Source organism: Homo sapiens, chromosome 14 (genome assembly GCF_000001405.40).
Source record: "Homo sapiens chromosome 14, GRCh38.p14 Primary Assembly".
In the NCBI taxonomy this organism is placed as follows: Eukaryota; Metazoa; Chordata; class Mammalia; order Primates; family Hominidae; genus Homo; species Homo sapiens.
Genome location: NC_000014.9, coordinates 61,917,259 through 61,930,171, shown reverse-complemented (window position 1 = coordinate 61,930,171; position 12,913 = coordinate 61,917,259). Strand labels below are relative to the sequence as shown.

The window sequence follows — 12,913 nt, the reverse complement described above, 5'->3', positions numbered from 1 at the left end:
GTATGAATCACATGGAAAGAACAGAAAAGCCTGCCTTTATGAATATAAGCATCTTGTACTCAGCATCCACAGGTTTAGAAGCCCTAGATAAGATGTGAGCACCACATGGGTCAGGAAGGATTATTCTCAAGGTGGATTAAGCAAGCTGGCCCCTTCCTTGCTCAATTAAAGCCATAGGGAAAAGTGCCTTATGTTTCCATAGTTTTAAAGTACTTCTGTGACCTAAGCACACCATGTAACTGCCTTATATACAAATTGACCTAGTGAACTATGTGATTATGCAAAGGCTACACTCTATTTCAGCGGTCTTGCCCACTCTTTCAGTTTTAAAAAAAGGCAATTGAGCAACATTTAAAACCATATTTAAGCCATCAAAAGTTTTCAATCACCCTGATAACAAATTTTGAAACTCCTTTGCTATGATATTACCCTTTTAGAAACATGCGTAGAGAAAAATAAGAAAACCAATTTGATTACCCAAACTCAGCTTCCCACAACACATTCTCCAGAGACATCAATGCTCCAGCAATGCAGTAGAAACAAACATCTAAGATATTTCAGACATGCCTTCACTGTAAATTCACGGATCAAAGGCAAAAGAAAAAAGTTTTATCAATTTTGGTTTTGCCCAACTACTGCTTAAACAAGTATTCTTCCCTGAAACATTTAAAATCCAGAAAGAGGCAGCGGGGTGTTGCTAGGCACGACCGCCAGGTTAATATCCCTTGCACATCTTTTTGTGAATCTCTCCTCTTCACCTGACTTGTACGCATCCTCCCCTACAAACAACATAAACACTTTTCTCTGTTCCTGTCCATCTCTCTGTGTGAAACTTTATAAACACCTAGAATTGTATTTCATAAAATTTAAACAACTCAAACCTCCAGCGACTCCAACAGGGTTTTTCTAGTCGGCCAAACCTGAGGGGTTAGTGAGCAGCCTTGACCAACAAATTTCACAGAAGCTGCTCCACCAGCTGTTACAGAGATGCACTGAGCATAGCTAGATGAACTGACTACATCAAAACAGCCTGAACTGTCTTTACTAGTAATCCCCGGATCACTCTTCCTTTGGGCCTCAAAATGGAGAGAAAAACTGAACTAAGCCAGTGCTGAAGAGGTGAACCACCAGAAATGTGTTTAGCATGAGGATTTTTCATAGATATTTAGCAATGTTCTTGCTCCATGGTACAAAGTGAATTTTCCCCTGCACACAGGTTGTCACTAATGACTATGCACACAAGAAGTGTCAGGCTTGTGCCTACTAAATCACCTTTCTTCCTGCAGGAGATGGTGCTTTGGGACGTGCTTTTATCCATATTTATGTACTTATCCTCATTATCGTGTTCCTGAGAACAAGCTGTGTGTTATGCCCTAGCCTCAAAAGGAAGTAATGCTCAGTTCTTAACCCAGGTTATTTAAAAAATAACCAGACACCTCCGGTGTGCTTATGAACAGAAGAGTAGCCGATATCTACAGACTTAAGCCCCTCTAATAGCAAAGAAGCAAGCTCTGTAAATGAGAACAAAATGTAATTGCCACTGTCTGTTTCTGCCAATCCCAGAAGACTGGGCTTCTCACCTAGGTATAAAATTATCAGGTAAATGCCTGATCATGTTGCCATGGGATTTCTGATGACTAGAGATCACTAATCCTTCTACACACCCTCTCTGGACTAGGTATTCAGACACACAAAAAGGAAGCTTTACATAAGCTCACTTAGCTCAAAGACATATATGCCAAGGTCAAGACTATGTTAAAAGCTGAAAACAAGAACAAGAGAGCAAAATTTCAGTTATGTCCTTTTTTCCTGCCAATTGTTCCTCAGCAAACAGATTTCTAGCACCTACTTTCTTTAAGTAAGTGCCCCTGATGTCCATTCCTATCTCTTAGGAGGACAAAGCAAATCAATTCCACTGCAGCTCCAGTCAACATCCCTTCCCCACCTTCCCACCTCTAGCCTCTGTCTAGCTCCGCCTTTCAACCCCTCCATTTTCTATAACACTCAGGTGAACTCGTATGATACAGATCCATAAGGGGTTTGAACATGCAACAACAGAAGTCTCAATTTAAGAGAAAACAAATAGGTTAAATATCAAACTTACACCTATTACAGTTCTTGTACTATTTTCAAAGTAAACTAGCCCCTTCCCTCAGAATATCAAAGTTAGCCTGAGGACTGTTCAGAACAACCAACTTACCCAGCTCTCTGGAACTTTCACGACTGCAAAGCAAGTTAAACCAGGCATGATATTTCCTTGAGAAAGTTGATTCAATTGAGGCTACCTAGTACTTCCTGGAAAAGCACCTCCACCTCCCCTTCTGACACTAGGTTATTAACTTTTTTCTAACTCTAAGTCATAATGACTTCTTGCTCTCCTTGGAGTTAATAATACGTACCCCAACTGTGCAAAACTGCAGTTCCCACCTAGCAGGGGTAAAGGAAAGCCAGCTGCTTACTTGAGTGTGAGACTCACCAAAGGAATGTTTGCTAACGAGGAGGTAGAGAAACTGGTCTGACTCACCATGATAGCTATTACAACCTTCTGCCTTAATAATTTAATCATTTTTTAAAAAACACATAACCACCTGTTCAATGGCATTATTAGTTCTGTCTTTATGGAAAAAAAATTATCATCCTGATAAATTTGCTGCAAATTATTATTCATTTGCTGTCAAACTGTAAGTAATTATTCCCTTTAGGGAACAGATGTAATTTGCTGCCCTGACTAAACTCAGACTCTGGCCATAAATATTTTGGTTAATAAAAAAAGTGCTTTCTCTTATTTGTGCCTAAAGCTCCTACAATAAATAGCCAGTGCAGGATCACAGCTGGGATGCTGATGAAGACAAAATGCCTAGTCTCCTGTGAATATCGTAACCTGGAATAAAAATAGATTACTTCCCAAGTATTCATCACTCATTTTTTCACTGAATAGCTTTATAGAGCCTCAGGCTGAGATGAAGTCATGCTTCCTGGAATTTAAAACCAAGAGGGTCACAGAAGCTAAAAATCACTGCTTTTGCATAGGTAAAACTGTGAAGCCAGAGGCAATAGCTGGGCTGTTACTCTGTGAACACTAAAAAAGTGAAGTTATGTGGGATGAAGGACCACTGTTGCTGAGTTGTAACAGATTTTTAATTTTCCTGTTTCATACAGGAGGAGTCCTATAATTACAGCTGAGTCTTTGTTACAGGATTACTAATTAGTCTATTTCACCTAAGTAAAAAAGAAAACTAGTATTTTATTTTTGTACATGTTTTTAAAAAGCATAGAAACTCAGAGTTACAGAAGACCCCACAATAGTAGTTTTTATCTCTGGAGCTAAGGACACCCTCTGAAACTGAAAGCCCTGAACCCTCTACTGGCAGGGTGGGGGGTGAGGGGGAGGGGCCACACAAACGAAATTGTGTAAATATATTCATAGAATGTATTCATGTCCCCTTAAAATTCACCTAAAAAGCCCTTTGAGTTCCTCAAAGTCCAAGTTAAGAATTTCCACTTCAGAGGTAATATCTGGCCACTGCCTCAGTCCAATTCTCCCACGAGACCAATACAGAAAAGCAGTATCTCTTTCACATTATAGCTCTTTAAAGAGTCCAAGGTGCTGTCCTTCCAACTGACCTTAATTAAACATGATTTTTACACTCTTATTCTCCTGGTCATATGAGTTTCTTCCCAAAGCACAGAAGCAGAATGTTCTAGAAAATGAAGGAGCATGCCTTGAAGTGAGTTCCCCCATCACTCATTCCCCATACAGAGACTGAACTCTCACTAGCTAAGGGTGTTGCAGAGAAGATGCAAGAATCCAGACTAAACTATATTCATATGTCTGTCTATGTCCTTCATAGGGGTGGCAATAAAAACTAAACACTGTGTTTCCCATGAGTTTCAACCAGACAGAACACATACTCTTTGACTCTTTGCATTAATTTGGGCTGAGTAAACCTTATTTTTAGCCCTAAGAAAGCAAATTCCTTCTAGCATCTAATGTCTAGATTTTTTTGGAAGTCACAACTTGACTTCTATTGAGTTCTCAGTCTATGAAACCCCGATATCTCCCACACATATGCTGCTAAGTCATAGCACTCACCATTCCTGGTGACCATTTATTCATTTAGACCATATATTGTTATTGACAGCATGTCATGTACCAAGCATAATCCAGACATACAGCCAGGTTTAAGGCAGAAGAAGTCTCTGCCTTCACAGAGTTTACACAGTGGTCTTACACAATCTGAACCATGACCCTGGTCTTAGATTTTCCAAGTTTTCCTTTGGCTTTTACATTCTTGTGAAATCTCCACCTTTTCCTTGAGGGAAAAATACCACCAGTTGTGTGTAGGCCCCACACACAGCTTTCAGATAATTCTTCCAGGAATTCTCTCTCACCTTCAAGGTAAGAGATTCTGATTTATTCAATTTAGGTGAAAAGGGAGAGGAACATAATCATTGCATCATAAGATGTTAGAAGAAAATAAGGCCAAAACGTGAAAGATGGTCAAAATAAAGCCTAACCAGGAAATTTTCATAAGAGAACACATGTTCTCTGTACAAGGAAAACTGTGTATGCATTTCTAAAAATCTTAGAGAAGAAACCCCCTTTTTTGTACATTAATTACAATGAGACTAAGCAATGCTAGTTTCTGAAGTAATCTTGAAAAGTATTTGTTTTCTACATTTTAATGCTAAGAATATAATTAGCTACTTAAAAGCAAATGCTAATACACCATTTTGTGTCCACGTTGGACACTCTTTGCACAACACATGATTTGATACTAATCTATGCCAAGATTTTCCTCTACAGTCACAAATTAACTAAAACTGGCCACAGGAATTCCTTTCTTACTGCCAAAAAGCTCTCTTTTCAGGCTTAACACTTTCCAACCTCAGCATAAAGACCCATCCCAGGTGTAAATAGCTGAAAGGAGGGAAAGAGGGAAGGAAGAGAATTGAAAAAGCAATCGAAGAGCATCTTACCGTCAGAATCTATGCTAGGTTACCGTGCCAGAGACTGCCCCCCAGTGTTTATTCTGTCCTTCTTCCTTAGGAATAGAACAACCAGCATTTAGCTATGCCAATGGCTGTGCCAAATCAAGAGGGCGCTTCCCAGCACCTCTAACAACTGGATGAAACCATATAACTAAGGATTGGCAAATGAGATGCAAGTGTACGTTTTATAGGCAACTTTGAGATGTGTTAAAGATGGTGAAGCAATGAGACAGAAGCAGCCTGGGTCCCTAAGGATCAAGAAGCTAACACAATCACCCAAAACTAAAGTGCCTGTGAACTTTGCTTACATGATAGAGAAATAAACTAATGGTTAAAGGCACCATAATTTGGGGTTGTCTGTCACTTGTGGCTGAATTTAATCCTAACTGATACAGCAAATTTATTTAATCCATACACTATTTGTATTAGGTACTGTTCATCATTGCCATTTTACATAATAAGAAACTGAGGAATATTTCTGCTAGGTCTCTCATAAGCAAGAGGGTTTCATACAGGGAAAGAAAAACATGGTAGTATGAGAAAAAAAGAAGCACAAGTTGGTGCAATATGTAGCCGATAGCACTAACTAGATTGTCATCAAAGGTTTTTATACAGAATTTTGAGGGGTAGGTACTCGAACCAAGATTTCATTCAGGTAATTGATTTAATAATGAAAAGGAAATACACCCTCGTTCTGAATTCATAACACACTAGTTGTTTACATCCTAAATTGCTGCTGCTGCTACAAACACTTCTACTCTCTGGTTAAACTGCAATGAAGTTTCCAAGCCTTGCTTAACAATTTCATCTGAAAGACAACTCTAAACCTTACATATCCTAATGTGCTGACACCCAGGGATTATCTTGGCTCCAAGGTCTCATATACCCTCAAATAATCTCAGAGACCTGCCAACCATTAGGGGCTCTGGGGTGATTTGGTTTAATAATCTCAATAAATAAACTTCACCCAATTTAACCCCACCTTTTGTATCTCTCCATGCCCCCTAGCACAGTGCTGGGAGTAACCAAGTTCATCAAAAACAGTCATTTAAAGGGACTGTCTACTATGCAAGACTCACCACTTCAACTTTAATGTCAAAATAATTTCAGTGTCTCCATATCCCTTTCCTTTCATCCTGATTCAGCATAGATAGTAATCTTTCATGTATAGCACTTTGTATTAACTTCGCCTGAGATTTACCTTTTAAGGGAAACTATTCATTTCTGCAAACAAAAAAGACTGACAGCAGTCACAAAATACATTAATTGTGATCTTAATGAAGAATGTAGTCTTATAATCATTTTTGTCAACATGGTTTTGAAGGGAGGTCAAATTCCTGCTAATAATATGTTGGTTTTGAATCTTTATAAAGACATGACAGCATGATTTTCAAGAACTTTTTTTTAAAAAACCAAATACTAGATAATTAAGTTGTAACAGTCAAACCCCTAAACTCAAAATTCATTTCCATTTGTCTGGCACAGACATTTCACTGTACTACGTCCCAATAACTTCAGTAGGATGTTTAGAGGCTATAAATAAAGTTTCTCTCCAGATATTACTAGGGCGCCTATTTGGAAACAACTGTAAAACAAACAGCTTGAAATGTTTCCGCTCGCTCACTGGCCAAAACACAGGAAGGGATTGTCATCTAGTGGTGAGGTCAGGAAATAAGAGATTTGGGGAAGAGAGGTTTGGGGTTCCTGGAATGGTTGCTTGATTCTGTAATAAACCAAGCAGTAGAAATCAATACAATTTATCACCAAGAACAATGCAAGTCAAGCCACATGGCTGAATTTAGTCCTAACTGATACAGTGAATTTATTTAATCTATACACTATTTATATTAAGTAGTCTTCATCATTGCCATTTTACATAATAAGAAAGTGATGAATAATTCTGCTAAAAAAGGTAGAGAGAGAGAGTTGTTAAGTTGTATTGATCTACTTCTTATGAATGAGTTTGGTGCCATAGTTCCATAATTTGTAGCCCAAATAATTGGAATATTCTTTTGTTGCCCTAATAATTTTCTACATAATATTTATAAGAGCCATTCTCTTCCAGCCTGCCATAATGAGCAGAAAGAATAGTATACAAATAGGTCCACTTCATTTTTTTTTTTTTTTTTTTGAGACAGAGTCTTGCCCTGTTGACCAGGCTGGAGTGCAATGGCGTGATCTCGTCTCACTGCAACCTCTGCCTCCCGGGTTCAAGCGATTGTCCTGCCTCAGCCTCCTGAGCAGCTGGGATTACAGGCACCTGCCACTACACCCAGATAATTTTTTGTATTTGTAGTGGAGACAGGGTTTCACCATGTTGGCCAGGCTTGTCTCGAACTCCTGACCTTGTGATCGGCCTGCCTTGGCCTCCCAAAGTGGTGGGATTACAGGCGTGAGCTACCACGCCTGGCCTACAAATAGTCCACTTCTTTGTAACACTAGTTTCATTGCTACCCATGCAAATTTATAAACCATTTTTTTTTACTTTAATTTTAGGTTCAGGGGCACATGTACAAGTTTGTAAATTCAAGGTAAGTAAATGCAAGTCACAGGGGTTTGTTGTATAGATTATTTCATCACTCAAGTACTAAGCCTAGTACCCAATAGTTATTTTTCCTGATCTTTTCCCTCCTCCTACTCTCTACCCTCAAGTGGGCTCCAGTACCTGTTGTTTCCCTGTTTGTGTCCATGAGTTCTCATTATTTAGCTCCCACTTATAAGTGAGAAGATGCAGTATTTGGTTTTCTGTTCCTGAGTTAATTTGCTAAGGATAATGGACTCCAGCTCCATCCATGTTCCTGAAAAGGACATGATCTCATTCTTTTTATGGCTGCGTAGTATTCCATGATGTATATGGACCACATTTTCTTTATCCAATCTGCCATTGATGGGCATTTAGGTTGATTCCATGTCTTTACTATTGCGAATAGTGCTGCAATGAACAGACACATGCATGTGACTTTATGGTAGAATGATTTCTATTTCTTTGGGTATATACCCAGTAATAGGATTGCTAGGTGGAATGGTAGCTCTGTGTCTAGCTCTTTGAGGAATCACCACGCTGCTTATAAAGCATTTCTTTTCTCTTTACACAAGGCACTAAGTTGAGCCCTAAGTGTGCTCTTTCTTTTGAGACTGTAGCATTGACAATTAAATATGTGCCAGATACTCTCATTTTAGACATAAGAACCCTGGGCCCACTTTAAAGCCAGGGAAAAAGCTCATAGAAGTACTTGCTTGGGGTAAAACAGCTAGTATTTTATTGAAGCTAAGACTTGAAACCAGGTCTGTCTGCTGCCAAGTCCTGTCTCTTAATCACTGCACTATTACTGGCTCTTTCATCCCACTTCCAATAGGGCATGTGCTTTGAGGTGTTTGCCCCATAGGTGACAGCCTGCTACCTGTCCACTCTCTCTTGCTGGGTTCTCCATGTGACTAATGACAACTAGCAGTGTAGCTGGCTTGAGTTAGACAATGTTGAAACAGAAGAGGCCAAACAAAATGGTTCTTCTGTGGCTCCTGAGCCCTTTACTCTAAGTCAACAAAGCTACCAGGGCTCAGAGCAGAAGCTCACAACCCCAGGTGACACCAGTCAATATGGAATATAGACCTCTAAGGAAAGAACTGAGAATGAATACATAGATAGGGCAGACATGAAATTAAACATCAACACTGCCTCCAGAGCTAAGGTTATGAATGTAACAGAAACACTGAAGTTTCCTGCTACAGAGACTGAGACTGGGAAAGTGGTCCCCTTGCTTATGATTAGTAACAGAAGGCTCCTGGCAGGATAATTTCAGGTGCTGTCAGGTTGAGGAAGTGGCTCATGGCCTTTGCAATAAGGAACAATGGAGTTAGACCTGATTCAAGAGGCAAAGTGACACCCCGGGCAGGAGGGGAAGGTTCTAAAAGAACCCACTGCTGCAGGAACATGAGTTTTATGACAATAATTAAGCAAAACAGGAGCATTTATTCAGTCAAGCTCTGTTTTTCAAGGCTTACTGTGCCAGGTTCTGTGCTAGATGCTGAGGGAACAAAGATGAAGAAGTCAGTGCATATTCTCCAAAGGGAGGCAAGAGACAAATCTAAGTTTAATCAGTACATGTAAACTACCAAGCTGGAAGTGAGCACAGAGGACTGGGGGACACAGGGAAGGGTTTCCTCCAACAGCCTGGAGGTCTGAGGAGAGTTTACTGAAGGCTGAGGCTCTTTAGTTGCTTAACCTAGTAGTTATGAGCATCTGGAGTCAGACTGTAAAGGGTCACATCCTGGTTCTACCACTTACTGCTCTTTAATTTAGGCATGCTACTTCTTAAACTTTCTGGGCCTCAATTTCCTCACCTGTAAAATGGAAACAAGAATAGTATCTAATTCACGACGGTGTTATAAAGATTAAAGCTTAAACGAGAGTCTGACACATCCAGTAAATAATCAATAAGTCAACTATTTGTATGGCTGAATAGAATAATAAATATTCATTCAACAAATGAATGAACTCAACAATTTGGGAGTGAGAGAAATCAGGAGGAAGTCTGCGTTGAAATGGCATTGTCTCAAATGTCTACAGTGCCGACGGGACACCCCAGTAAATGTTTCTAGAGACAGGCCTGGACCTAGAGATATAAATTTGGGAATCATTGAGTGGTTGTAGTCATGGAAATGGATGAGATCATCTAAGAAGAGAGAGAGGACAGAAAGAAAGGTTAAAACCAAGTTCTTCATCACACACCGGGGCCTGTTGGAGGGTGGGGGACAAGGGGAGGGAGAGCATTAGGACAAATACCTAATGCATGTGGGTCTTAAAACCTAGATGACAGCTTGATAGGTGAGGTGCAGCAAGCCACCATGGCACATGTATACCTATTAACAAACCTGCATGTTTTGCACATGTATCCCAAGACTTAAAGTAAAATAAATTTTAAAAAACCAAGTTCTTAACAGTGGAAACACTTAGAATTCAGGTCAAGAAGGGAAACAGCAAAGGAAAATAAAAGGGTAGGAGGAAGCAACCAACAAGGTAGGAGGAAAAACAGGTGCATGGTAACCAGATGAATAAGAGGCCAAAGGACCAGCATCAGCAAAGGCACAGGCGTGTGAAACAGCAATGTGTGTATGTCGGGGGGCCTGGAGCATGCAGAAATCTCCAGCAGTTCAATACTTTCTGAGCATAAATTGAGAGGCAGTGGGGAGATGAAAACTGAGATATAAGAAAAACAGAGTGTGATAAAATGTGTATCAAGGATTTGAGATGACTAAATCATCTCAGAGGTTTGAGGAGGTTTTCACCACGACAGAGTTCTGGCCAAGTGTGCATATCAGATAGCTTTTTCTAGCAGCTATCTGGATGATGCCTATGGGAAGCAAAATAATGCCCTTTTTCTTCATATGTCTATGTCCTAATCCCTGGAACCCATGGATATGAGAGGTTACATGGCAAAGGGGAAGAGTGCAGATGGAATTAAGGTTGCTAATCAGATGACCTTAAAATAGGGAAATTATACTGAATTATCCAGATGGGTCCAATGGAATCACAAGGGTTCTTAAAACTGGCAGAGGGAATCAGATAAGAAGGACCAGAGAAATGGCAGCATGAGAACTCAACCCACTACTGCTGACTTTGAAGATGGAGGAAGAGGCCATGAGCCAAGGAAGGTGGGCAGCCTCTAGAAGCCAGAAATGGCAAGAAAACTGATTCTCTCCTAGAGCCTCCAGAAATAAGTGCCATTCTGCTGACATCTTGATTTATCCCAGTGAGATGAGTCTCGAACTTTTGAACCACAAACTGCATGATAATAAATTTGTGTACCTTTGCACCACTAAGTTTGTGGTAATTTGTTACATCAGCAATAAGAAATTAGCACAATGTCCTTAAGAGGTAAAACACTAGAAGCAGAAAACCCAACTAGGAGGCTGTTGCGTTCATGCAGAGGACAGATGATGATCTGTCTTAGGAAAATGGGACAGGGTAGGGAACAGTGGCTACTGTTTACCTGCTCTTGTGCCTAGCAACGTATTTCTATCACATTTTTATCAGGTCTAATAATGGAACACATGTATTGCAGCAAAGTTAAAATATATCCCTGTTGGAGAAACAACTACCTAATGAATTGAATTGGAAGCTACTGCCAAAGGCAGGTTAAAAAAGAGTCAGGAACTTTTAAGACTGCACCCCAGGACCTGTCTCTTCTAAGAATCCTCCCCATATGTTGGGTTTAGTCTTATATTATTTCCAAAAGTTATAAAAATGTTTTTCTAGCTCCTGATTCTCTCCTCTACATTTCCCTGGCACCTAGAAATGCCTTGCCTACATGCTTGCAACACTAATAATTTTCTCTCTCAGGAGGTACCTTCTGCTTCTGTTTTTCCACACAAGTAATTCATATTCATTGTAGAAAAATCAGAACACAAACAAGAAAAAGAAGGTAAATCAACCATGATTCATCACCCCACCCCCCAGAGATAACTTTTTTTTTGTATTTTCAGAGCTATCTTTGAGAATGTTATATTAATATTTATACATATTCATGTATTTTATTTTTAAAAGTGGAATCATACTCTTATAAAACATCATGCTTTTCTTGCCAGGCAATATATTATGAATCTTTCCATGAATATAAACATTTAAAATATAATTCTTACAGGCTACTAGGTATTTTCAACATAAGAATATACCATCATTTATTCCCTCAGTCCCCTCATCACTGGACATTTGGCTTTATTGTTCCTTTATCCCCCATCTTCTGTATTTCCCCTCTTTTCTTCCAGGTGTTTGCAGCCATCACCACCTGTTGGCTTTAGGTCAGCCATGCTACAGTTTATGGCTCCTAGCCCCATGGATGCTCTGGGGGGATGCTTTGGTTCCAGAATGCCATATTTCCGCCCATATGATTAATTACTTAGATCTCTGGGTCCTTCTAATCAGGACACTGGATAATGAGACAAAAGTTGTTTAAAACAGAACAACAAACTTGACCTTCATTGATAATGTTAATAGTGGCCAGCAACATACATCAATTTGAAAATGCCTTCCTGCCAAAGCTTTGGTTACTAAAACTAAAAGTTCCATACCTTATGATTCCTTATGCAGGTCAAGCATCTCTAATTCAAAAATCTGAAGTGCTCCAAAATTCAAAACTCTTTGAATACCGACAGGACACCACATGGATGGCTGAGGTAGTCACACCCTTGCTTTCTTATCATTCTATATACACAAACTTCATTTCATGCACGAAAGCATTTAAAATATTGTTTAAGACTACCTTCAGATTATGTGTATAAGGTATATATGAAACATAAATGAACTTCATGTTTAGACTTGTGTCCCATCCCCAAAATGTCTCATTATATATATGCAAATATTCCAGAAGCCAAAAGCCAAAACACTCTGCTCCCAAACATTTCAGATAAGGGATACTTAACCTATAGTTTATAGTGCTGTGTTTATTTATAATTAGAACAGCCTTGTTCTGACTCTCATTTGCAAGTGACAAAAAAAAGTCCAACTCAAGTACCTTTAAGCAAAAAAAAAGTGGTTTCACACAACTTAAAATCAGATGTAATCAAATCCAGAAACTCAAACAATATCAAGAAGCTGCCCTCCTTGACCTCCTGACTCTGCTTTCAATTGCACTGGCTTTATGTTTTGGTTGGGAACGTTTCCCCTTAAGGGGTAACTAGGCTTCTATGATCATAGCTCCAAGTCTAGTAGAAGATAGCTTCCTTCCTCAATATGCTCCCCCCAAAAAATCTTAGAACTGGCTCTTATTGGACCACTAGGCTTATTTACTTGTCCGTGAACCAGTCAATCCCTGTGGCCCAGAGGATGAATAGGCCACTGATTTGATTAGTCACAGGACTCCCATGCTGTGTACTAAGTATGGCCAAAGAGACAGGGTACAATTACCAGGAGGAAAATAGATGC

The 12,913-nt window shown here is 39.6% G+C and overlaps 1 protein-coding gene across 14 annotated transcripts in view; it reads right to left on the bottom strand.

Moving 5' to 3' along the window:
• SYT16 (synaptotagmin 16) overlaps positions 1–12,913 on the bottom strand; it is a 300,664-nt gene that overhangs the window by 182,654 nt on the left and 105,097 nt on the right. Inside the window, exon 1 of one of the 14 annotated variants that reach the window (NM_001367663.1) lies at positions 2,201–2,477. The exons of 12 other annotated variants lie outside the window; for them this stretch is intronic. The gene's annotated coding sequence lies outside the window, so the exon portion shown is untranslated. Of the gene's footprint in view, positions 1–2,200; positions 2,478–12,913 lie in introns of those variants that run through there. One more of the 14 variants, XM_024449729.2, reaches the window with a different exon arrangement.